The 26,570-nt window shown below is 45.3% G+C and overlaps 1 protein-coding gene and 1 long non-coding RNA gene across 2 annotated transcripts in view, besides 2 other annotated features; both read right to left on the bottom strand.

The window, feature by feature from the left end:
* Positions 1–23,264, bottom strand: part of SCLY (selenocysteine lyase) — a 38,413-nt gene extending 15,149 nt beyond the window's left edge. The window contains exons 1-7 of the mRNA NM_016510.7: positions 23,122–23,264; positions 19,796–19,908; positions 16,100–16,200; positions 14,788–14,968; positions 2,429–2,556; positions 2,056–2,220; positions 911–1,017 (exon numbers count right to left, since the gene is read on the bottom strand). Coding sequence (NP_057594.5) covers positions 911–1,017; positions 2,056–2,220; positions 2,429–2,556; positions 14,788–14,968; positions 16,100–16,200; positions 19,796–19,908; positions 23,122–23,210 — 884 coding nt within the window. The 5' untranslated portion in view covers positions 23,211–23,264. The remainder of the gene's footprint in view (positions 1–910; positions 1,018–2,055; positions 2,221–2,428; positions 2,557–14,787; positions 14,969–16,099; positions 16,201–19,795; positions 19,909–23,121) is intronic.
* UBE2F-SCLY (UBE2F-SCLY readthrough (NMD candidate)) overlaps positions 1–26,570 on the bottom strand; it is a 132,469-nt gene that overhangs the window by 15,149 nt on the left and 90,750 nt on the right. The window contains exons 9-14 of the long non-coding RNA NR_037904.1: positions 19,796–19,908; positions 16,100–16,200; positions 14,788–14,968; positions 2,429–2,556; positions 2,056–2,220; positions 911–1,017 (exon numbers count right to left, since the gene is read on the bottom strand). This is a non-coding gene — a long non-coding RNA (UBE2F-SCLY readthrough (NMD candidate)). The remainder of the gene's footprint in view (positions 1–910; positions 1,018–2,055; positions 2,221–2,428; positions 2,557–14,787; positions 14,969–16,099; positions 16,201–19,795; positions 19,909–26,570) is intronic.
* Positions 23,055–23,504: a silencer, noted in NCBI's record as "silent region_12485". NCBI's record gives its function as "represses an Ori minimal core promoter by ATAC-STARR-seq in GM12878 lymphoblastoid cells {active_cell/tissue: GM12878}" and the evidence as "EXISTENCE:reporter gene assay evidence [ECO:0000049][PMID:35858748]".
* Positions 23,645–23,854: a silencer, noted in NCBI's record as "silent region_12484". NCBI's record gives its function as "represses an Ori minimal core promoter by ATAC-STARR-seq in GM12878 lymphoblastoid cells {active_cell/tissue: GM12878}" and the evidence as "EXISTENCE:reporter gene assay evidence [ECO:0000049][PMID:35858748]".

Genomic DNA, 26,570 nt, shown 5'->3' with positions numbered 1-26,570 from the left:
ACGCTCCCTGTGACTGACAGGTGTGGGTCCAAGATCCCGATATGGTCTCTACTGACACCATGGTGGGAGTGCCTAAGTCCCGGTTCTCTACCTGGCCTTCTTGACACACCCGGTGGTGGTGTGGGATACCTTGTTACAGCCTGTATTGGTGGAAGTCTGGGTTTCCCACTCCATCTTTGCAGGTGTGGATAGGCGTGGCAGCACAATTTCCCCTGTAGCATCTGGCTGGAGTAAAGCAAGTGTTGTCTCAAAGTTTTCTGTCTTGCTAGGCCATTCCTTTCCTGGTCCACTGGCTAGAGAGGACAGGCTTTGGTTGGGGCATTTTTGTGTCTGCCCTTACTAGCATATCAGGTTTGCCGGCTTCTTCAGCACTAAGTGTGGGATACACAAGGTGAAAAGAAAACCCAGGAACTCACCACCATGCTGTTCCTGTTTCTCTCTCTTGTTAAGTAGTTTCTAACAAAAGGTGTGGTGGGGGCAACAACTAATTTCCCAGTTAACACGTCACTATACATAGAGGGGACACAGGAGCTATCAGAAAGGAGACCAGTGCTTCTGTGTGGTCCTGCTGATCCCCGAAGTTAAAACAGCAGCAGGCCTCAGCCATGAAGGGTCCAACAGTTCTCTTCAGTGGGCTGGGCCAAAATTACAAGGGGAATTGGATGCATTGGAGCAGTTAAAAGAAACAGAGATTTCCTTCATTGCTTTCAATCATTCCCAAAGAGACTGCAGGTCCTGTGAGCCCTCAGTGTAAAATCAATCAGTGGAGCCAGTTCTGACACAGCAGCAGTGTGGACATGCTACAGAGCCTCCACGAGACCAAGAAACAGCGCCATGTTTCTTTACAATGTCACTGCTCTACAAATGACACGGTCAGTAGGTCAGAGACTTTGTTAACTTTCTGCCTTACCCTGGCCTGAAATTCCGTTCTTGTCCACCTCCAAATAGCATAGGGTAGAGAGGGGTAAATTCACCAAGTCCTCGTATATAAAGTGCGCCAATCCTGGGACCATAAAACTGGAAGGAAAAGTTGGTCATTTATTCAACAAGAACTTTCCAAGGACCTACTCTGTATACATGCTAAGTGCTTAGGGGCACACAGGAGAAATGCTCTGCAATGCATAGTCCTGCTGCTTCCTTGTGGCGCCTCTGAGTGCCACCCCTTTTGACACGCAGAGTCACAAAAGCCTTCGGGGCAGGGTGGAACCCCAACCTAGGAGGCAGCGCAGGTGCTAGACTCTCGTGCTCAGCTCTGTGGCAGGCAGCTCTCCCCTGCGCATCATGTGATAGAATTTGTAAAAGGATCTCAAATCATATGAATCACAGGTTTAAAAAAAAAAAAAAGAAAGAGAATGCATAAATAGAGAGGGGTTGGAACCAGCGGTTGGCCAGGGCTTTTCCTGCAAATGATTCCATGTTTCCAACTGACACAATGCAGAACTCTGGAGTGCCAGTGTCAGGCCAGCATAGACACTCCTTTGGAAACCAGCTGAGGACTGTGCTTCAAAATTGAGTACTAAAAATATCTCGGGCCCTGGTAAGCTGCCAGAAAGATGTGCAAAATTTTCAGAAGGGTCTTCACTGTTAACTATTTTCCCCATACTCCCACCTTAAAGATAGCTGCAAAGGTTTTGCTGAGGAGCCGCATCTGAAATCACATTAGAGAAAGCAACGATTTCCTGTCCCTACATCTTCCACCCCACACCCTCTGCAGATGCCCTGTCCGCTGCAGAGACACTCGCTGCCTGGCCGAACCCCCTGCCTTACTCTCCCTGAGATCTCGACGTCTCCTCCCCTAGCTTGGTCTACCGCCCCCACCCTGCCCCATGTGGGCTGGGCACCCCCCCCATCATCCCTGCCATGGCATTCGTCCTGGCATGCTGGCCATGTGGGGCTCCCCTCTTAAAGCTCCTGAGGACAAGGATCCCACGTTGCTCCTCGCAGTGCCCCCAAGGCCTGGCTCACGGTGGGCAGTGAGGCTTACGGACCGAGGAGTAAACAGCCACCTGCGCAGTAGGCTCTGCCCACAGAGGCAGGAAGCCTCTGCAGACTTACCTTGTGCCCCACGATTGTAAGGAAGTCCACGCCCAGGTCCTCCACATCCACGCGCTGCTTCCCCAAGGCCTGTGCAGCATCCGTGTGCACGAGGATGGGAGGTAGCCCAGCTGCCACCCGTTCCTGGTTCAGGGCTTTAATGCGCTGACTGATTTCAGGGACAGGCTGACGGGGAAAGGAAACAGTTGAGTATGTTGCTCCGATCTGATGAAAACTGAATGACAGAAATCAGGAGTAGTGAGCGCAGGCCAAATGTTATCAAAGTGAACAGAGAAACGGGAGAGGCCAGAGCTGGGAAACCTGAAACGCCATGAGTCTAAGCTGCTGTTCTTCCCCATGAGCTCTCCTTAAAGAGAAACAAAGGCCGACTCACCATGACAATGCCAGTCTCATTGTTGGCCAGCATGATGGTCACGAGGCGTGTGGTCGGGCGGACTGCCGCGAGGATGTCGTCCACCTCTGCCTGCCCGCTCACCTTGGACACCGGGACAAAGGTGACCGCTGGGAAACAAACATGAGTACCGAACTGAGCTGCACAAATTGATTCCTCTCAAAACTGCGTTCCAACAGAGCTTAACAGTTTTCTACAACTATAAAAGTAAATTGTTGTCCAAGTTCAGAAGACTATAAAGAAGAATATAAGCCGCCCATCATCACTGGCCCAGAGTCACTGTCAGGTGCTTCAGTGTGAACGTGTCTTTAACGCGGCTGCAGTCAGTGAATCTGTGTCGTGGAAGCTGTGTGCCTTTCTGCTTCTACGGAGACGGAAGAGGAAGAGGCAACAGGGATGCAGGCTCTTGCTTTTGGGGAGGGTCCTAGTGCACAGCACTTCACTGCCATGCATTTGGCACCGAGCCAGTGCTGATGAAGCCGCTCCTACGCGCCAGGCGCTGACTGCCCCGGGCACTGAGAGTCTCACTACTGCAGATGGAAAATGAGCAGAGGGGACTACATTGTTTAGCTTTAGTGCTTTGAGTTTAAAATGGTGAAAAACAAATGTATCCACTGCCCACTCAGGATCCTACTGAAATGAAAGAGAAAACAGCTACTTCTCCGACTAAGAATCAAATCAAAACAACACCAACAAAGGGTATCTGGCCAGGCGCAGTGGCTCACTTTGGAAGGCCGAGGTGGGTGGACTGCTTGAGCCCAGGGGTTCAAGACCAGCCTGGGCAACATAGGGAGATCACACCACTGCACTCCAGCCTGGGTGACACAGTAACACACTGTCTCAAATAAAAGGGGGTGGGAGGGGGTATGTGGACTAGGAATTTTGAGGAGTCCCTAAAATGTAGCAAGATGATGGCATTAGATTAACAGGGAAAAGAACACTTAAAGGCCAATCTGAAAGTATCCAGTGGCCACCCAAGTTCAGGGTGGACAGCGGGAAGCGCAGGGCACGGGCCAGCTACCGAGGCCGGCAGAGGTCAGCTTCCCAATGTCCGAACACGCCCTGCTCCCGTACACCAAGTCAGCGGCAGAGGTGCTGACCTCAGACTGAGACAGCACCACACGCCCAGAGAGGGCGGGCACAAGGTGGGCTCCCAGGATGGGGGAAGGATCTAGAAAAGGGGGAGGAGCTTGAGGCATCTGCTAGGGAACTCAGAGGAGCAAAGCAAAGGCAGCTCCGTCCAGGGAAGTCACGAGAAAAGTTGGGGGGGTCCACCCGGCTTGCCGGGCTCTGCTGCCACCACCTTATGCAGAGCCCACCGTGGGCCTTCCTTTCCTGGGAGACACCTCCTGGGGAAACGCATTGAGAACTGGAGATGAGCCATCCCTAGCCCCTACATCAAACAACGAAATGCTTCATCCATCCACAGGAACAATCCAGGATCCCCAAGCCTGAGGAAAAACCAGGATGAACAGGTAAATGACTGATTCTAGATCACATAGAAGCAATCCCAGGAACAGGAAAACTAAAAAAATTCTAACTGGTATCTTCAGTGTGTGGAAAAGCAGGAAAAAAGGCAAGTGATAAAAACTGCCTATGACTGTACTTAAAGAGATAAAGAAAAGTATGATGACAATGGCTCATCAAATAGAGAGTCCTCAAGATAAACAAGAGAGAAATTATGAAAAAGAACCAAAAGGAAATCCTGGAGTTGGAAAGTACAACCGATATGAAGAATTCACTGGAGGGGCTCCAGAGTATATTGGAACTGGCAGAAAATACATTTAGTCAACATGAAGGTAGATTTACAGAGATTACGAAATCCAAATATAAGACAGGAAAAACATGAGAAAGATAAACAGAGCCTCAGAGAAATGTGGGACACCATAAGGCACCAAATAGGGAAAACAGGAGTAGCAGAAGGGCAGGAGCAAGAGAAAGGGGCAGAAAAATGTCTCTGAAAAATAATGGCTGAAAACATCTCAAATGTAATGGAAAACACTAATCTACATACCTAAGAGGCTCAGTGAATTCTGGGTGGGATAAAACACAAAGACATTCACTCCCAGACACATGATAATGAAAATGTTGAAAGCCAAAGACAGAGAAACTATCTCGCAATCAGCAAAAGAGATTCCGTCTCAAAAAAGTAAAGGAAAAAAAGGGCAGTGTAACTGTATATTGCTTCTCTTAACTGATTTAAAAGCAACTGTATAAAATAACATGTATATAATTATTTTGTTAGGGCTATAACACACAATATTTCATAATAGCACAAAGGAGGTGGGAGGGAGCAGAATTGTCTATTAAGGAAAGGACACCAGATGATAATTCAGATCCATGGAACAAATGAAGATAATGTGAAAAGGCAACTAAGAAGATTACTCAAGCAAAATCTATAAACATATACTTGCTCTTTCTTCCCTTAGCTTCCTTAAAAGATATGAAATTGGCCAGGTGCACTGGCTCATGCCTGTAAGCACTTTGGGAGGCCAAGGCAGGAGGATCACTTGAGCCCAGGAGTTCAAGACCAGCCTGGGCAACATAAGGACACCTTATCTGCACAAAAAATAAAAAATTAGCCAGTGCGATGGGATATGCCTGTAGTCCCAGCTACTAGGGCAGCTGAGGTGGAAGGATCACTTGAGCCTGGGAGGTTGAGGCTGTAGTGAGTTGTGATTGTGACACCAAACTCCAGCCTGGGTGACAGGGTGGAATCTTGTCAAAAAAAAAAAAAAAAAAAAAAAAAAGAAAAAGAAAGAAAGAAAGAAAGAAGGAAGGAAGGAAAGAAAGAAAAGACAGGAAATTAACTACAATGATATTTGTGGCTGGCTGCAGTGGCTCACGCCTGTAATCCCAGCATTTTGGGAGGCCAAGGTGGGCAGATCACTTGAGGCCAGGAGTTCAAGATCAGCCTGGCCAACATGGAGAAACCCTGTTTCTACTAAAAATACAACAATTAGATGGGCCTGATTGCACACGCCTGTAATTCCAGCTGCTTGGGAGGCTGAGGCATGAGAATCACTTGAACCTGGAAGGTGGAGGTTGCAGTGAGCCAAGATTGCACCACTGCACTCCAGCTTGGGTGACAGAGCAAGACTCTGTCTCCAAAAAAAAAAAAAAAAGATATTTGTAACAATGCACTGTTGAGTTTGTAACATATATAGATGTAATACCCATAACAATAAAAGCACAAAAAAGAAGAAGGAACAGAACTGTATAGGAGTAACATTTCTACATCTTACTGGAATTAAATTAGTATAAATTTGAAGTATATACTGGTAAGTTTATACATAAATAGTAAGCCCTTGACAACCACTAAGGAAATAACTAATTTAAAAAGTGAAAAAAGCACTAAAGAATTTTGATGTTAAATTAGAAAATATTCGTTAATGCAAAAGAAAACGGTAAAGGGGGAAAAGAGAACAAAAAATATATGAGACATCTAGGAAACAAAAAGTGAAAATAGGTGGTACTCCAACTATGTCAATAGTAACATTAAGTGTGAATGATTAAACAATCTAATAAAAAGGCAGAGGCTGTCAGACTAGATTTAAAAAGAACTGGCCGGGTGCAGTGGCTCAAGCCTGTAATCCTAGCACTTTGGGAGGCCAAGGTAGATGGATCACCTGAGATCAGGAGTTCAAGGTCAGCCTGGCCAACATGGTGAAACCCCGTCTCTACTAAAAATACAAAAATTAGCCAGCCATGGTGGCAGGTGCCTGTAGTACCAGCTACTCGGGAGGCTGAGGCAGGAGAATAGCTTGAACCTGGGAGGCGTAGGTGGCAGTGAGCCAAGATCGTGCCACTGCACTCCATAGCCTGGGCAACAGAGCGAGATTCCGTCTAAAAAAAAAAAAAAAAAGAGAATCTACAGGAGACCCATGTGTCTTGTTCAGGGATCTTGGGCTGGGCCTAGTTAACCTTCCCCAAAGGTGACTTTTCCCTTTTCCTATTATTCACATCAAAGATAAGTCTTAGATGCTGTGTGATGTTCAAGCAGTTTATTCTGGCAGTGCTCTTACAAGATAGCTAGCAGGAGCAGGCAGGTGGCAAGGGTCAGATACATTCAGGTATCAGATGACTGCCTGGCCGGGAAAGTCTCTGTCCAGAGAACATTCTCAGAGTTTTGGGGATTCTTCCCCTTTCTTATCTTGTATTTAGTCCAGGTCAGTTACCAGGTTTTTCTTCCATAAGGGAGTTAAGCTATTTTGGTAAGGGAAAGCTTTGTATTTATGGTTTATGAGAGTTCCATCTATGCTGAGGTGGTCTTACCTCCTGGAAATTCCCAAGCCAGGGTTGGAAATCCCTAGACCATGTTGCATCATACTGCTAATTGACACATAGTGTCAGCCCTGCAAGATGTTTGCATGGGCCTTACGGCTATCATTAATCTTATAGCCACAATATGTCTCTAACAGTGTATTACAACATGTCAGATTTAAAGACATAAATGGATTAAAAGTAAAAGGATGGAAAAAGATATTTATGCTAGCAGCAACCATAAGACAGTTGGAATGACTATACTTACATAAAATAAAAGGGATTTAAAAAGTTACCAGCAATATAGTTGGACATTTTATAATGATAAAAGAACCAGTTCATCCATAATATATAACAAATATAAATGTATGTGCACCTAACAATAGAGCACCAAAATACACGAAGCAAAAACTGACAGGTTTGAAGGGAGAAACTGATTAATAGTGTGATCAACTATTAATCAGACCACTGATTAATAATACTGGGATCATTCAAAATCACATTTTCAATAATGGATACAACAACTAGGCAGAATTTTAACAAGGGAACAGAAGACTTGAATAACACTACAAATTAAGTAGACCTAACAGACATCTACAAGACACTCCACCCAACAACAGCAGAATATACATTATCCTCCAGTGCACTTGACATATACTCTAGGATATATGTCTACATACATCCTAGGCCACAAAATAAAAAAAATTAAAGAATTTAAATCAAAGTATTTTCTAGCTCTTATGGAAGAAAATTAGAAATCATTAGCAGAAAGAAATCTTAGAAATTAAAAAACATATGGAAATTAAACAATACACTCTTTTTTTTTTTTTTTTAATTTATTTTTTTATTGATAATTCTTGGGTGTTTCTCACCGAGGGGGATTTGGCAGGGTCATGGGACAATAGTGGAGGGAAGGTCAGCAGATAAACAAGTGAACAAAGGTCTCTGGTTTTCCTAGGCAGAGGACCCTGCGGCCTTCCGCAGAACAATACACTCTTAAATATCTAATGGGTCATAGAAAAAAAAAACCACAAGGGAGACTAGAAAATACTTTGAGATGAATGAAAATGAAGACACAACATACTAAAACATGTGGAATGTAGTTAAAGCAGTGCTTAGAGGGAAATTTATGTCTTTAAATGCCTACATTAAAAAAGAAAAAACGTCTGGGTGTGGTGGCTCACACCTGTAATCCCAGCACTTTTGGAGGCCAAGGTGGGTGGGTCACTTGAGTTCAGGAGTTCGAGACAAGCCCAGCCAACATGGCAAAACCCCGTCTCTATTAAAAGTACAAAAATTAGCCAGATGTGGTGGTGCATGTCTGTAATCCCAGTTACTTGGGAGGTTGAGGCACAAGAACTGCTAAAATCTGGGAGGTGGAGGTTGCAGTAAGCTGAGATTGTGTCACCGTACTTCAGCCTGGGCAATAAGACTCTGTCTCAAAAAAAAAAAAAATACAAATCATAACTAATCTTCCACCTTAAGACACTGTAAAAAAAAAAAAAAAAAGGAACAAATCAAACCTAAAACAAGTAGAAAGAAAGAACCCATTTATGCCTGGTGTTCCATTATTGGAACGCTAAGCTTGTGGGAGTTATTTATATCCTACTGCTCAAGGTTATTGCCAAGGTCTGATTTTTCACACAAAAAAACTTGCAACCTCCGGCATAAATGGGTTAATAAAGGTTAGTGTAGAAGTCAATAAAATAGAGACTACAAAAATAACACAGGAAAATCAAAAGTTAGTTCTTTAAAAAGAGTTTTTAAAAAGATAAATCTTTAGCTAAATTGAACAAGACAGAGAAAAAGAATAAAATTACTAAAATCATGAATGAAAGGGATCTATAAATCTTACAGAAATAAAAAAAGATTACCAGAGACTACTATAAACAATGGTATGCCAATAAAATTAGATAACAAATGAAATGCACAAATTCCTAGAAGGACACAAACAACTGAAAATGACTCAAAAGAGATAGAGCCTGAACAAACCTATAAAAAGTAAAGAGACTGAATCAGTAACTTAAAAATTCTCCACAAAGAGAAGCCCAGGCCCAGATGTTGTCATTGGCAAACTCTATCAAATATTTAAAGATGAATTAAAACCAAGTCTTCACAAACCCTTCCAAAAAACAGAACAGGAGGGAACACTTCCCATGATTTATATGGGGCAAATTTTACCCTGACACTAAACTAGACAAAGACACCACAAGAAAACTACAGACTAATACCTCTTATGAATATTGACAGAAAAATCTTCAGCAAAATACTAGTGAACCAAATCTAAAAACATATGAAAAGGATTAAATGGTTTAACATCCAAAAATTAGTTAAGGTAATACAACATTACAAACAGAATAAAGAACAAAAACCCACATGATCATCTCAATAAATGATCATCTCAATAAATGGATTTAACAAAATCCAACACCCCTTTCATGATAAAAACACCCAACAAACCAAGCACAGAAGGGAACTTCCTCATCCTGATAAAGGCCATCTATAAAAAACCCACAGCTAACATTATATGAAATTATGAAAGAATGAATGCCTTCCCTTACAATCACTAGCAAGATAAGGATATCCACCTTGGCCACTTCTATTCAACATTGTACAGGAGGTCCTAGTCAAGGCAATTAGACAAGAAAATAAAATTAAAGAAATACAAGTTGGACAACAAGAAGTAAAACTATCTCTAGCTGTAGATGATATGACCCTCTATATAGAAAATCCTCAGGAATCCATTAAAAAACCAACTGAAACTAACAATTAGGCCACGCATGGTGGCTCACGCCTATAATCCCAGCACTTTGAGAGGCCAAAGTCGGGGGGATCACCTGAGGTCAGGAGTTCAAGACCAGCCTGACCAACATGGTGAAACCCCATCTCTACTAAAAATACAAAATTAGCCGGGCATGGTGGCACATGCTTATAATCCCAGCTACTTGGGAGGCTGAGGCAGGAGAATCGCTTGAACCCAGGAGGCAGAGGTTGCAGTCAGCCAAGATCACTCCATTGCACTCCAGCCTGGACAACAAGAGCGAAAGTGCCTCAAAAAAACAAAACTAAACTAAACTAAACTAACAATTAAAACTAATAAATTCAGCAAAGTTGCAGAACACAAGAGTAACATACAAACTCAACTGTACAGTTGACCCTTGAACAATGTGAGGGTTAGGGATGTGGACCCCTCAGGTAGTCGAAAATTTGTGTCTAACTTTTGACTCCCCAAAAACTTTTTTTTTTTTTTGAGATGGAGTCTTGCTCTGTTGCTCAGGCTGGAGTGTGGTGACACCATCTCAGTTCACTACAGCCTCCGCCTTCCGGGTTCAAGTGATTCTCCTGCCTCAGCCTCCCAAGTAGCTGGGATTACAGGTATGTGCCACCACTCATGGCTAATTTTGTATATTTAGTAGAGATGGGGTTTTGCCATGTTGGTCAAGCTGGTCTCGAACTCCTGACCTCAAGTGATCCGTTCCCCGCTTCACCTCCCAAACTGCTGGGATTACAGATGTGAGACACCACACCCAGCCAGCTCCCTGCAAACTTAACAACAAATAACCTACTGTTGACTAGAAGCCTTACTGATAACGTAAGCAGTTGATTAACACATATTTTGTATATTATATATTATATGCTATATTCTCACAATAAAGTAAGCTAGAGAAAAAATACTAAGAAAATCATAAGGAATAAAAATATATTTACTATTAATTAAGTGGAAGCAGATCATCATAAAGGTCTTCATCTTCATCATCTTCACATTGAGTAGGCTGAGGAGGAGGAAGAAGAAGAGGGGTTGATCTTGATGTCACAGAGACAGTAGAGATAGGAGAAAATCCACATATAAGTAGACCCACAGAGTTCAAACCCATGTTGTTCAAGGGTCAACTACATTTACATACATTAGCAATGAACAATCCAAAAATGAAATAAGAAAACAATTCCATCTACAATAGTATCAAGAGAATAAAACACTTAAGGATAAATTTAACAGAAGTGCAAAAACTTAATCCTGAAAACTGCAAAAATTGCTGGAAGAAATTAAAGTAAATATAAAGACATCACATGTTCATGGATTGGAAAACAATATTGTTATGGTAGCAATACTGACCAAATTCATCTACAGATTCAATTCAATCCCTATCAAACTCCTAGCTAGATTTTTGCAGAATTTAACAAGCTGATCCTAAAATTCTTTTGAGATGTCAACAGATGCAGAATAGCCAAAACAATATTAAAAAATAACAAATTTGGAGAACTCCTACTTTCCTGTTTCAAAACTTACTACAAACTACAGTAATCATAACAGTTTGGTACCAATCTAAGAACAGAAATACAGGTAAATGGAATAGAGTTGACAGTCAAGAAATAAACCCTCACATATTACGGTCAACTGATTTTCAATAAGGGTGCCAAGACCATCCATGGAAGAAGAGTCTTTTCAACAAATGTGCTGGAACAACTGGATGTCCACATGCAAAAAAAGTAAATTTGGACTCCTCCCTCACACCACACACAAAATTAACTCAAAATGTACCACAGATTTAAATGTAAGAGCTAAAACTATAAAACTCTTAGAAGAAAATATGAGTACATTTTCATGACCTTGGGTAGGACAAAATCTTCTTAGACATGACACAAGGAACAACAACAACAACAAAAATAGACTTCATCAAAATGAAAAGCTTCTGTTCTTCAAAGGATACCATGAGAGCAAGAGCAAACCCACAGAATGAGAGAAAATATTTACAAATCATCTATCTGACAAGGGACTTGTATCAAGCATATATAAAGAACTCTTACAACTCAATAAAAAGACAAGTCATCCAATTAAAATAGGAGCAAGGACTTTAATAGACATTTTTCCAAAGAAGATATATACAAATGGCCAAGGAGTACATGAAAGATGCTCAACACTACTGGCCATCAGGGAATTGTAAATCAAAACCAAAATGAGATACCACTTTACACCTACTAGGCTGGCAATAATCAAAAAGACAGATAACAAATGTCAGCAAAGACATGGAGGAATTGGAACCCTGTGACACTGCAAATAGGAGTACTAAGTGGTGTGGCTACTTTGGAAAACAAAGCTTAAGGTTAAACAGTTACCTAACATTTGTCAGATAGTTACCGCATGACCCAGCAATCTCACTCAAGTATAAACCCAAAAGAAATAAGAACATACCAATACACTAAAACATACGCACAAATGTCACATTAGTCGTAACAGCCAACAAATGGAAACAACCTAAATGTCTATCAACTGACAGACAAATCAAATGTGGTACAGATAGACAATGAAATGTTGTTCATCTGTAGAAAATGAATTAAATACATGTTACAACATGAGTGAACCTTGAAAACATTATGTTAAATGGAAGAAGCCCGTCAAAAAGAGCACGTTATAAGATTCCATTCATAGGGGAGTCTAGAATAGGGAAATCTGTAGAGACAGAAAGTAGATGAGTGGTTGCCTAGAGTTGAGGGAAATGAAGATTTACAGTTAACTGGTACAAGGTTTCTTTTGGGGCTGGCGAGAATTTTCTATAACTGAAAATTATAGAAAAATTTTCTATAACTGAAAAATATAGTGGTGATGGCTGCACAACCTGGTGAGCACACTAAAAACTGCTGAACTGTACACTTTAAGTGGATGAATGATAGCTCATTAAAGCCGATATACAAGAAATCCACTGGGATGTGTGGAGACAGAGGGAGTGCGAGGAAGGCTTATGAAGGTCCAAGTCCTTATTTTTACATTGAGGATGCTTGTGTTGATAAACCAAGAACTGGGGGTTAGGTTTTTAAGTTATTTAGCTTAAACTGGAAGTGGTTAAAATGATAATATCCACAAGAAGAACTCAAGGCAAACTGTAACAGTGGTTGCTGCTGCAGAGGTTTAGGGGCAGCAGGAGAATGACTTTTGTTTTTTTGTTTTGGAGACAGTGTCTCACCCTGTCGCCCAGGCTGCAGTGCAGTGGCACGATTTTGGCTCACTGCAACCTCTCCCTCTCAGGTTCAAGTGATTCTTCTCCTCCTTAGCCTCCCGAGTAGCCGGGATTATAGGTGCCCACCACCACGCCCGGCTAAATTTTTTTTGTATTTTTAGTAGAGACGGGGTTGCTATGTTGGCCAGGCTGGTCTCAAATTCCTGACCTCAAGTGATCTGTCCGCCTCAGCCTCCCAAAGTGCCGGGATGACAGGCGTGAGCCACCGTGCCCTGGCAGACTTTTTACTTTATACTTTTCTATAATATTTTAACTATTTCCATCACATGCATGTCTATACATTTTTTAAATTGTACAATTTTAAACAAAAGGTTAATTAATTACAACAGTAACTAATAATGATGTATACCAAGTTGCCCTTCTCTGTATTGGTAAGATAGGGAAAAAAAGGTACCAGAGGCTGGGCTCTGGCCGGGCTCAGGTGGCTCACACCTGTAATCCCAGCACTTTGGGAGGCCAAGGCAGGCAGATTACCTGAGGTCAGGAGTTCAAGAGCAGCCTGGTCAACATGGTGAAACCCCATCTCTCTTAAAAATATAAAAATCAGCCGGGCATGGTGGCGTGTGCCTGTAATCCCAGCTACTCAGGAGGCTGAAGCAGGAGAATTGCTTGAACCTGGGAGGCAGGGGCTGCAGTGAACTGAGATCACACCACTATGCATCAGCCTGGGCAACAGAGTGAGACTCCATCTCAAAGAAAAAAAAAAAAAGGTACCAAAAACTAACAGTACTTAAATAAGAAAATTAGATTTTTTTAAGTGGCAAAAAATTAAATCTTGGGATCTAAATCCTTCATGTGAATATGTTTACCTACGGGCAAGCATTCAAGTAAGACCACAAACAGAATGTTATAAATTTTTTTTTCCCCTGAGATGGAGTCTTGCTGTCTCCCAGGCTGGAGTACAATGGATCTTGGCTCACAGCAATCTCCATCTCCAGGATCCAAGTGATTCTCCTGCCTCAACCTCCCCAGAAGCTGGAACTACAGGCACGTACCACCATGACTGGCTAATTTTTGTATTTTTAGTAGAGATGGGGTTTCACCATGTTGGCCAGGCTGGTCTCGAACTCCTGACCTCAAGTGATCCACCCGCCTCCACCTCCCAAAGTGCTAGGATTACAAGGCTTGAGCCACTGCGCCCAGCCAAAAAAATTTTTTTTTCAAAAAAGGCTTCATAGTCAAACCAAGCAGTTTGGCCACAGTCCCTTAATCTTTAAAATAAAAATATTTTCTTTTTATTCACCTGCAGGTTTCCAGACAGATTACACAAGAAAACTCAGGTTGAGAAGAAAATCTGTCTCAAGGATAGTGTTGATTAATTGGCTGCCCCATTTTTACAAGTTAATGATCTACACCTGGTGAACATGTCACTCCCTTTTGGGACTTCCTATGACTCTGTGGCTCTGTCCGTGCTGTGTGACAGCCACAAGGCCACTGCTGCTGCAGCGAGCCTCCTCCTCCCTGAGGGCCCCTGCGCCTCCTGCCGCACTTGGGCACCACCTCACTCCGCTTCTCCACACATAGCAGGAGGCCTCGCGTCATGGGTGCTGAGATCAGGTGCGGCAGCTCGCTTATTCCAGGCTTCACACCTGAAGTTTAGGTCTATTTGATCCTTTTCCTTCATGTGAGAGGAGAGTGGGAGCTGAGATTTTATGATGAAAACCAAATAATGACAAGCATCATTTGCCTATTTGCAGGCGTACTATTTAAAGGTTAAATATTTATTACATGCAAGTTTCAAATATCACTCAGTTATACAAATGGCTAGTTCTACATATTCATTCTCAATGAACTTCCTAAGGGAAAGTTTGGCCACACTTGCCAACCCCCTTGTGGCAGCTGGCCTCTGCACCGAGAGGGGCAGCCAGGGAGCCCAGTGCAGTGAGGGGCAACTATTCACCAAGGTGCCAGGGCCTGCCTCCTCATCAGAACCAGTGAGTTACAGTGAGTGGCACACTGAATCTACATCTCTGCAGCGGATCCCGGGCTCTGCTCGCAGGCCACTTCCCGCCTCGCAGCTGGAGCTCAGCAGGCTGGTCCCAGGGCCACCCTGCACTCACTCACCTGCCACTTGTTCTTCCACCAGGTGCTCCAGGGGCAGCCGGATGGAGTCGTGTTCCACCGAGGAAGTAATGAAATGGGGCTTGGCCCCCTTCACTGGGCTGTGGTGCCCACCTGTGTGTCCCTTTGAGGTCTGGTTTGCGTGGAAATGTTTCACCACAGAATGGATTACTAAATTATTTGACTGCAGAGATACAGCAAAAAAAGCATTTACAAAAACTGTGCTGAGGTAAGGGTCAGAGCAACAATTTCTGTTACTTAATTTCTTTTGTGGCTAACATCAAAAAAGCTTCAAAGAAATTCAACTTCCTGAGTGGGACCTTTTGAAAGATTTGGGGTTTTCCAACATTCAAAAACATGAGATTCCAGTCAATTATGTCTGTTTTATAGTTAAGCAATATTATTAATTTTTAAGAATTTATATAAATGTATTGGTATAAGTGCAGTGTGGTTATATGCATAGAATATTATGAATTTTTAAATTTTATAAATCTGCCATAAAGAGTATTTTGTCCAGCCACCCACTATTGGTGGGAGTATAAATTGGTACAACCTCTACTGTGGGCCATTTATCACATCTACCAAATGAGCCCCGTGACCCAGCAATTCTAGTTCTTGGACTTTTTCCTACAGCTACATTCACAGTGAAACAAAATAGTGTGTATAAAGGTTATTTATTAAGTGCAGCACTGTTTGTTACAGCAAAACCTTGGAAAGTCCTTAAATATCTATCAATTAGGGATGAAAAGGACTGATTCCAGGGCAACAATGACGGGGAAACCTTTATGGAAATAACAATGCAAAGCAGGTTACTTTACATATTACATTACAAAAATCCTATCGGCTACCTGGAATTTACTTAAAGGATATATACTAATTATCTCGAGCTAGTATGCAATATAGCAAGACCACACATTACTCTCTTTCTTTCTGAGACAGGGTCTCACTCTCTTGCCCAGGATGGAGTGCAACAGCGTGATCATAGCTCACTGCAGCCTTGAATTCCTGGGTTCAAATGATTCTGCCACCTCAGCTTCCCTAGTAGCTGGGACTACAGGTGTACACCACCACGCCCAGCTAATTTTTTTTTTTTTTGTAGAGATGGACTTTCCCTATGTTGCTCAGGGAGGTCGCAAACTCCTGGGCTCAACCAACCCTCCTGCCTTGGCCTCCCAAAGTACTGGGATTACAGGCATGAGCCACCACACTTGGCCTACTCTTTCTTTAAATGAAAATGTAGCAAAAGGAAATCACTTTCTGTGTATTTTATTATAACTTACAGTTAACAGAATGTGAGTGTGTTCAGAAGCTTTACCTCAGTGCCCCCGGAAGTGAAGATTATATCTTGAGGTTTCCCCCCTATCATCTTCGCGAGGCTTTCCCGAGCTGCATTTATAATATCCTTGGCCTTTCTTCCTTGAGGGACCAAAAAGGAAATTCATTAACATTGCTTCACCAAGCTCAATCAACGCATCTAAAAGGACAACCAAATACAAAGGAATAAGAGGTCTGCGTGGGCCGTTCTAAGACAAAACCTGGCCCCTTAATGTGAGCACAGCAAAATGCTACAACCTAGACACAACCCGGCAAAGGGGCGGCCGAGACAGCAGCGAACCAGGGACCAAACTGAGAGTTATTAACTCCATGAGACCCAGAAACAAGTAAGGGAGTCTGGCTATGAACCTGGACGTCCCCCAAGATGTGGCTTTCTTCTTACTGGATGCTAGAGGGAGGGCAGCTGTGGCCATCTGCCTTGCTTCCCATTCATCAAGAGAGGAGAATGAAAGGATGGAATGAGTTGCAAACAACAAAAATAAGCAAAAACAGAACTCATGACTCGACGCGAAGTCCAGTGCCATATCTCATTTTGCATGTCGCCCACAGGGTACCTGGGCTACAAAGGTTACTGTCTCAGGGACACACCTGCTTTCAAACAGGGCTATGCATCCGGCCATCACCCAGTTTCACTGGCTAGAAGGAAAACACAGCAACCATGCTTGATGGGGCAAAGAAGGAAAGGCTCTGGCATGGGAATGCCGAAAGTTTCAGTGACCATTCTTAGTGTACACACCAGGAGTCCCCAAACTTTTTTGACCATTCAGTCTTATTTAAAAATAAGAAAAAATTGAGCAGGCACCGCTAAAACATATACTATTACGAAACATCATAAAAAAGAGAAATATAAAAAGCTGAGGTAAAATAAATATGCAAAGTAATTCTGCTGCTCCTTAACGCTACTGTATAGATGTCAGTTTTAGTAGTAGTTTCCTAAACACCTAAGTGGTGTTTAGGAAAACTCCATCATTTTTCTTGGTGACACTAAAAGTCACCGTAATAAACTGTCACCCTCACTCTCAGCCTTCCCTCTCTCAGTGATAATGGTTTGGCTGTGTCCCCACCCAAATCTCATCTTGAATTGTAGCTCCCATAATTCCCACGTCATCAGAGGGACCCGGTGGGAGGTAACTGAATCATGGCGGCAGGTCTTTCCCATGCTAGTCTCGTGATAGTGAATCAGTCTCATGAAATCTGATGGTTTTATAAAGGGGAGCTCCCCTGCACGCACACTCTTCTCTGCTGCCATGTAAGATGTGACTTTGCTCCTCTTTCGCCTTCCTCCGTGATTGTGGGGCCTCCCCAGCCATGGGAAACTGTGAGTCAATTAAACCTCTTTCCTTTATAAATTACCCAGTCTCAGGTACATCTTCATTAGCAGCATGAGAACAGACTAATACACTCAGGAAATGGCAACTCCATCCCTCAGCAGCCCAGGGCAAAAGCGTGGGCTCTTTCCCTTTTCATTCCCCGCCAATTAATCCACCAGCAAATGCTGTAGGCTCTGTGTTCAAACGATGTTCCAAACCTGACTCTGCCTCTCCACCGCCCAGCCACCAACCAAGCCAAGGCCACTGCTGTGATGTTCTCCTAGCAGGCCCCCACCAGGGTCCATTCTCCACATAGTGGACAAAGTAATGCCTCGAAAACCCAAATACATTTTGGGCACCGTGCTTCATCCCTCCCCCAACAGGGTGCTGAGTACACAGCTGGTGCTCAGTCAGTGCTGCTTACGTCAGCGGTTTCCAAAACCCCAAGGCCCTCTCAGGAGGTCCACAAAGTCAAAACTGTTTTCATGATGATACTAAGAGAAGAACTGCCTTTTTCACGCTCCTTTTCTCACAGGTATATGGTGAACCTTCCAGAGGCTTCCGTCACTATGATGTGACTGCAGTGGGCTGGACGGGGAGGTATGAGCGCCAGCTATCTTCCAGCAACAGGCAGTAAAGAGACTTCCACATGCACAACAGTGCAATGCTCACTAGGTTTCTTGTTTTGCCGAAGATAGTTTATTTTTCATAAAAATTCATGAATGCTGAGCTTATTTTCAGGGTTTTTGTTTGTTTTGCTATTATAAGCAAGACTGTGATAAATATCTTAGGTATGTAAAATCCCCACATCCTCAACATATTCCTTAAAATAAATTTCCCTCAAAGGCTTTAGATAATATTTAGGCTGGGCATGGTGGCTCACACCTGTAATCCCAGCACTGTGGGAGGCCGAGGTGGGTGGATCACAAGGTCAGGAGTTCAAGACCAGCCTGGCCAAGATGGTGAAACCCCGTCTCTACTAAAAATACAAAAATTAGCCAGGCATGGTGGCGCGTGCCTCTAGTCCCAGCTACTTGGGAGGCTGAGGCAGAAGAATCGCTTGAATCCGGGAGGCGGAGGTTGCATTGACCCGAGATTGCACCACTGCACTCCAGCCTGGGCGAGAGCGAGACTCAATCTCAAAATAATAATAATAATAATAATAATAATAATAAAATAAAATATTATTAGTTTAAATAACAATATTGTGAAAATAATTAAACCACTCTATAAATTGATTTTTTTTCTTTTGCATTTCGATCTGAGTAGCAACACAAAGTGAACTGCAACACTTTTGAGTTTATGGTTCTTAATTTGTGGAAACAAAGGCTATCAAGGAAACCTAAAAGCCACTGCCAGGCTTCATTCAGGTCCAGAACATGATTTCTCCCTGAGAGCGATTCCCAGACTTTTTCATGAGACAATGCCTGTCATCGGCATTTAATTATTCTCCATATTTTCAAGTCTAATACGTCAGAAATTTCAATTTTACTAGAGGAGAGACTGGATACGAGGCAATGTGCAGAAGATTAGCCAGAATAGACCAACAAATAAGCCAACAAATAAGTTAATGAATGACTAGTATCTGAGCTGAAGGGCTTTGTTATTAAGTTGCCGTGAAACGTTTAATAAGCAAATGGATAGGAGAACGTATTAAACCTGTAAATTGTACGCAAGTGTTACTAAATCGTATGGCCTGGCAATATTCTGTTTGAAGTTAATTTAGTTCATCATCATCCACAGTTAACACAGTTTATCTTAATTATCTCTCATAAACATGAAATAAGAAAGGTAAGACTTTAGCTTGCTCATCTGTCTGAAAAACAGAATGTAACTCTGTCATATAACTGACTTGAAGCAAATTCTTCTCCAAAACCTCCAATTTAATGGTCTACATTACAATAAGAATAAATTGGAAACAAATAAGAATATTCATAACTAAAGTAATTAATGAAAAAGTAATTTTCATCTTTAAAAAGGGCCAGGATTATATGTTATCCTGATGACCTAAAAGACATATTTTGCAAATTCTGTAAGGATTGACTGAGCTAGATCTGTGAAGTGCTCCACAGGTACTGACTGCTACTTCAAGGAACTCTCAGTAGACACCTTTCTCATCTGGGAAAGGGTGACAGGACAGCATGTTAAAGATTAAACATTAAAGGTTAAAGATTACAGTATCGACAAGGCTCAGCTTACAAATGGGGCCTTCCCAGAAAAGAAACTATCAAAAATTACAGCTCAAGAATTGCAGCTAACAGAAACCTATTCAAAACAAAGCCGTCACGTGTGGGTGTGCAATTTCTCTAAGAGCGCCCCATCCCCATTATCTCCCATCAGTGAACACGTGCATCTTCTAGAATTACCTGCTGAATACGGGCTGCTGGGATTTCCCCAGGCTTCCCACATGGCCTTGGTCATGGCCTGGATAACTTCTGGCTCCAGGGGAGTCGTTGCATTATAGTCCATATAAACTTTCCTGAAGGAAAGAAAGCAAAGACACCCATTAAGGAAAAGGAGATGGCATATGGGAAATATGGCTGCTCTGTGTCTATCCCATCGGCAGGAGCAAATAATGTCAAGGGCATGGTGATCCTCTGCATAAGCACTGCAGGCATCCACAAGCTGCACTTGGGAATCTACAGATCTACACTACTTATGGAAAATGCATGCATAATTTCTAAGACTCTAGTTTTTGTCAATTTCTTTTATAATTGATAGGACTTGGATTTTCATTTCGGTTTTCAAAATTTCTTTCTAGCAAGGCACAGTGGATTGTGCCTGTAGTCCAGCCATGTGGGAGGCTGAGGCGGAATGACCTCTTGAGGCCAGAAGTTTGAGGCTGCAGTGAGCTATGATGGTGCCTATGAATAGCCACTGCACTCCAGCCCGGGCAACACAGCCAGACCCAGTCTCTAATAACAAACACTCTTTCTACCCCTTGGTAGGATTAATGGTCTGTTGGGCCCAGATTACCCATCTGACTGCTGTAAAGGGCAGATCACTGGCCTCTTCCTTATGGAAGGAGGGGAACAGCTGCACATTCCCCAAGGGAACTTTCCTGTCTGCTGTTTTAACTTCATCAGAGGTTCGCCTTATTTCCCCACACTCATTTTTGCGATGGCCTGTGGGGCTCCTAGTGACCTGGGCTTCTCCCTGGGGCAGGTGAACTTTGGCCCCAGACCTTGCACTTTCAGTTTCTTTGCCCAGAAAGACTACATGCCCTGCCCCCACCTTACTTTTTTAGGTCTTTGTTCCAACTTAGTCCTCTTGTGAGACCCCCTGCCCTGCAGCTCTGCTTAAAACTACAGCTGGCTGGGCGCGGTGGCTCACGCCTATAATCCCAGCACTTTGGGAGGTCAAGGCAGGTGGATCACTTGAGGTTAGGAGTTTGAGACCAGCCTGGCCAACATGGTGAAACTCCATCTCTACTAAAAATGCAAACATTAGCCCTACTAGGGAGGCTGGGGCAGAAGAATTGCTTGAACCCAGGAGGCAGAGGTTGCTGTGAGCCGAGATCATATCACTGCACTCTAGCCTGGGCAACAGAGTGAGAGTCCGTCTCAAAAAAAAAAAAAACAACAACAAAAAAAACAAACCCACAAAACTGCAGCCACCTATGTCCCTACCTCCCCAGCCTCCAGGTCCCCTTCCCGCCTTCCTTTCTGGGCAGCATCATCATCTGACATACCAGACTTGTTCCCTTACTGTCTACCTTAATAGAGTAACAGAAGTATGGCTCCATGGGCATGGGGGCTCTGTTTTTCTCACTGCCCTGTCACCAATGTTGAAGCCCATGGTTGCCACACAACAGGGGCCTGATTTTTATAAGATGACAAAATAAATGCCACAGAAAGTACAAATTCCCTGAAAGATCCCTCACTAAGTAAAATTTATCTGTATATCTTTTTACTAATATCCAAAACCTTCGAAAGCCTTTAGAAAAATGTGTAGTAGTAGTCCTGCCTGATATTAATTTATCTAGTTTTTAAATAAACAGTGCTTACACCAATCCACATGAAAACCCAGATACAATGACTAACTGTGGCTGTTAAGCCACTGAGTGTGGACAGAATGTGCATTAGTTGAAATGAAGCATCTTTTCTGTTCAAAATCACTCAACAGGCTGTGCCCTGTGGCTCACGCCTGTAATCCCGGCACTTTGGGAGGCCAAGGCGGGCAGATCACCTGAGGTCAGGAGTTCAAGGTCAGCCTGGCCAACACGGCGAAACCCCATCTCTACTAAAAATACAATAAAATTAGCTGGACGTGGTGGCACGTGCCTGTAATCCCAGCTACTTGGGAGGCTGAGACAGGAGAATCGTTTGAACCCGGGCAGTGGATGTTGCAGTGAGCCAAGACTGCACCACTGCACTCCAGCCTGGGTGACAGAGTGAGACTCCATCTCAATTAAAAAAAAAAAAAAAAATCACTCAATAGGTACAAGGCTTTGACAAGTTTGACTCGCCATCCTTTACCACTCTGGTACTAGTATTAATAGTCCTAGGAATCCCCCAGCCCGGCTTGACTTTGCATGTGCCCTTATATCTGTTTTTCTTTCCTATAAATAAGCATCCAAAGTACCTTAGGCTAGCTAGTGTTTGTTGAGCGACTGTAGCTCTTCAATCTGCTGCTGGGCTGAACAAATCTATTTTGTTCAGATTAATACTTTACACATTCCTTTGCTTCATTATTTGCTGCTTCCTTAAAATGCTATCAGTATTGGATGAGCAGGCTCAACTTTGTTAGCTTCATAACCAAAAAATAAAAAATCTTGGGAATCTCGCTCCACTGATTCCCTAGGGGATATTTTCCCAGATCCCTTCACTTTGTTCCAACCAAGGTAGAATGCCAAATGTGTGTGCTTTAGGCCTGGACCCCCTCATATTCTAAGCATGGGTAGCGAATGAGCTCACAAAAAGGAAAAAGAGGGGTCTGGAAAGAAGACACACAAACCAGAAAATGCATACCCCTGCCTCCTGCTCTTCTCGGACTTAACTAGTATGGATACCACGTGCTTCGGGTCTCCGCGCTTCTCAGCGGTGGCCATCCCGTTTCCTGCAGCTGGGCCAGCAGTCTGGGAGAACCCTTGATTCCCTTTCACCTGCCCCAGTGCACCAGCTTCCTACCAACGCATCCGTTTCTGGGCGCACACCACATCTCTCTCCTAGGTTGTTACAAGATCCCCAACTGGCTTCCCGGCTTCCTCTCGTCCCATGCCTACCCGCGCCCCTACTTTCTAGGAAGCAGCCAGAAGGACTCCTTCAAAACACTTAAATTGCATCGCCCCGTGATCAACTTCCGAGGCCCCATAAGGCTCCGAATGAACCCCAAAGTTCTTCCCGGGCTCAGGGGCTCTGCCGGTTCACCTCCGGCAAGTCCCCTGCCCTTCGCATCTGCTGTGCCCTCTTCCTGGCAGGCTCTGCTTCCCCAGAACCTGCAAACCTCACCCCTGGAAGTCACTCGGGTTTCGGCCCCAAAGTCACCTCTCCGTGGGCCCTTGCGGGGCCACAGCTCGCACCCGCTCCTCCTTGAAGCTCGCATCCCTGACTTAGGCCGACCTCGCGGACATCCCCGCGCGGGACGCCCCACGCGAGAGCGGCCACAGGCCGGGAGCCCCCTTCGTCCTCCCGCGCGGGACAATCGGCGACAGGCGCCGGCCGCTCCCCAGCCCTGCCCTAAAGGCGCGCACCTCTCCGGCGAGTTGTGTTTCCCGCAGCCGCTGGGCTGACTCGCCGCGGGTGCCGGCGCATCCCTCCCCGGCGCCACGGCCGCCTCCATCCCCGCCCCACTGCTGCCGGGCATCCAGCCTCCTTCCCGCGGAGCGCTACGGGCCCAGAGCGCCGGGGAGGAGGCGGGGCCGCGACGCCCGGGCGCGTCCGGATTGGCTGAGCGAAGCACCCCAGCCAATCCACCCGCTTCAGAGGGCCGCCGAGCCCCCAGCGGGGAGGCGAGGCTGCGCTGGGTCAGGTGACGGGTGGGGGCGGGGCTTAGCGCGTCACAGAGCTTCCCGGGAACCGGGCGCTAGAAGCCGCGTCTCCTGGGCCGGCGGATCCCCGCACTTTCACTTCCGGGGGAGCCCCGTGACCTTTGCTGTCTGCGGCAGGGCCGCCATCGGGCCGCGGCCGGTTAGTCGGCGTAAGAGCAGGCGGGGCCCGAGCTGGACCTGAGGAGCAGAGGCGGCTGGGCAGTCCTGCGGGTGCCTCCCTCTAGCCGCATGAGCGCGGGACCGTGCACTCCGGGAGAGCCGGGGCCGCGCGGCCTTGTTCCCCGCGAACCCTCGAGGGGAAGTGCCGGGGCCGCGGCAGCAGGGCCAGGGCCCCGGGGGTCTCCCGCAGGCCACCCTGGACAGTGATGAGCAGGTCCGCTGGACCTGCGCGTCCGTTAGTCGGAGCGGCTCCATAGGGGACCTGGATGGCGTGAAGTTAAGAGTCACGCATCGAGGATGGACTTGAGGGGATCTGGAGTAGAGGATGGGAGGGCATTGAGAAAATAGGGCCAGAGATGAGGGACTCTAAGTGGGCGTGGAAACGCAGGAAAGATTAATTCAAGATCTGTTTAGGCCGTTAAATAGGAATTGGGGCATGAGGGACAGGAAGGAAGCAAGGATTAGACAAGTGACTGGGAAGATGTTAGTGCCTTTATCTGGGTAAGAGGGAAGACGGGAGGGGGAAAGATGATGGGTTTAGCTTTGGACATGTTGAGTTGTCTGTGAGACAGTCACAAGTGTAAACATCCACCAATGGTTGGTGTCCCGCCAACCATTAAGAAAAGTCAGTTGAGAAAGTGGTAGAAATGAGCAAAAATCCTCACGAAGCCATCCTACCGTCACTTTTTTTGTTGTTTTTTGTTTTTTTGGCATAATAGTGTCTACCTTTAATTGAGCCTTGAACTATGCCAGGCAGTGTTCTAGGTATTTTTCGTGTGTTCACTAATTTAATCTTGATGATTAACCCAGTCTGGTAGGTATTTATGTATGAGGAATCCAAGATACAGAAAGGCATCTTGCCCAAGTTCACACGAGTAGTGGCTGGAGCCAAAATTCGGTTTCAAGCATGCTTTGCCAAGAGGTTGAATTTTAATTGGCTTTTCATGGGCTTTCTCTATTTTGTGTCCTGTTGGGGTCCAGAATAACTTGGCTTTTCCAGCACAGCAAATCTGCAAATTTCTGGACTCATTCTCTCTCATTCTTCCCTATAAACGCAGCTCATTTCTTGCCAAATGCAGCCAATAGCAAAGGGCCCACCAACATTTAAGAAGCAAATGGATGCACAGGAGCATGAGAACAGTCAAAAGAGGAGGAAAGGAAAGGGAATTGAGAAGGAATGTCAAAAAAGTCAAGAAGACACATAATAGTGTAAAGTGTGGCTGAGAGGCAATCCGAAGTCTACTGTGCGTAACAATTAGGAGGCACTGATAAACTAGCGAGAGAAGTCTCAGTGATGGGAGAGGCATGGAAGTTAGAATGCAAAGATGGGATATGAAAAAATGAAGAATGCAGTCAACTCTTAAAACGGTTGAGAAAGGAGGAATTAAAAAGGCGTATAAGATTACAGGCAAGCTGGGCGCGGTGCTTCACCCCTGTAATCCTAGCACTTTGAAAGGCTGAGGTGGGTGGATCACCTAAGGTCAAGGGTTCGAGACCAGCCTGGCCAACATGGCAAAACTCCGTCTCTACTAAAAATACAAAAAGTAGCCGACTGTGGTGGTGCATGCTTGTAATCCCAGCTACTGGGGAGGCTGAGGCAAGAGAATCACTTGAACCTGGGAGGTGGAGGTTACACAGTGAAGCTGAAACCATGCCACTGCACTCCAGCCTGGGAGTCAGAGTGAGACTCCGTCTCAAAAAAAAAAAAAAAAAAAAAGATTAAGAGCAAATAGAGACTGAACATGTTCATAGGCTAAAGGGAGTTAGCCAACAGGACGTGCAAGGAAGAGGAGCCAAAGTCCTGGAGGAGACGATAGGGGATGAAGTTAAGAGTAAAGGTGGCTAGGGAAGTTGATAGGCATGGGGAGAATTCATTCTCTAAATCTGTTTGGAAGGCTGTAAGGATAGGAGCCCAAGGACAATGGACAAAGTGACGATTCATCCCAAGCACTCCTTGGGCCAGTTAGGCAGCAATAAGGTTTGTGTTTCCAGGTGAACATAGTGAGTGTAGTGGTGGAGTCAGACAAGATAGTGTCCAACATGGCTGGTGATACCCCGAAAGAATTGAGTACAAACATACAGAAGCCCAGGTGCTGAGGTAGCCCAGCTGAAAACAGTTTAGGGTACAACACGCAGCAGCAGCTACCACCATTCCAAGTATACTGGTCACACATGCAACAGATGACCTACCAAGATGTCTCTAATACAAACACAAGTGCCCCATAGTGGCCAGACATTTGAGGAATGGCATCTCCATGAAGATAGTGAGAGGTGACAGCGTGCTGGCAGCCCTGGCAGCCCTCGCTCGCTCTCGGCGCCTCCTCTGCCTGGGCTCCCACTTTGGTGGCACTTGAGGAGCCCTTCAGCCCACCGCTGCACTGTGGGAGCCCCTTTCTGGGCTGGCCAAGGCTGGAGCCGGCTCCCTCAGCTTGCAGCGAGGTGTGGAGGGAGAGGCGCGAGCGGGAACCAGGGCTGCGCGGGGCGCTTCTGGGCCAGCTGGAGTTCCGGGTGGGCGTGGGCTTGGCGGGCCCCGCACTCGGAGCGGCCTGCCAGCCGGCCCCGCCGGCCCCGGGCAATGAGGGGCTTAGCACCCGGGCCAGCGGCTGCGGAGGGTGTACTGGGTCCCCCAGCAGTGCCAGCCCACCTGCGCTGCGCTGGATTTCTCGCCGGGCCTTAGCTGCCTCCCCGTGGGGCAGGGCTCGGGACCTGCAGCCTGCCATGCCTGAACCTCCTCACTTCCATGGGCTCCTGCGCAGCCTGAGCCTCCCAGACGAGCGCTGCTCCCTACTCCAGGGCACCCAGTACCATCCACCGCCCAAGGGCTGCGGAGTGCAGGCGCAGGGCAAGCGGGACTGGCAGGCAGCTCCACCTGCAGCCGCAGTGGGGGATCCACTGGGTGAAGCCAGCTGGACTCCTGAGTCTGGTGGGGACTTGGAGAACCTTTGTGTCTAGCTCAGGGATTGTAAACGCACCAATCAGCGCCCTGTCAAAAC

This window comes from Homo sapiens, chromosome 2, assembly GCF_000001405.40.
Source record: "Homo sapiens chromosome 2, GRCh38.p14 Primary Assembly".
NCBI classification, from domain to species: domain Eukaryota; kingdom Metazoa; phylum Chordata; class Mammalia; order Primates; family Hominidae; genus Homo; species Homo sapiens.
The sequence above is the reverse complement of the archived record's forward strand: the minus strand, read 5'-3'. Positions and strand labels throughout refer to the sequence as shown.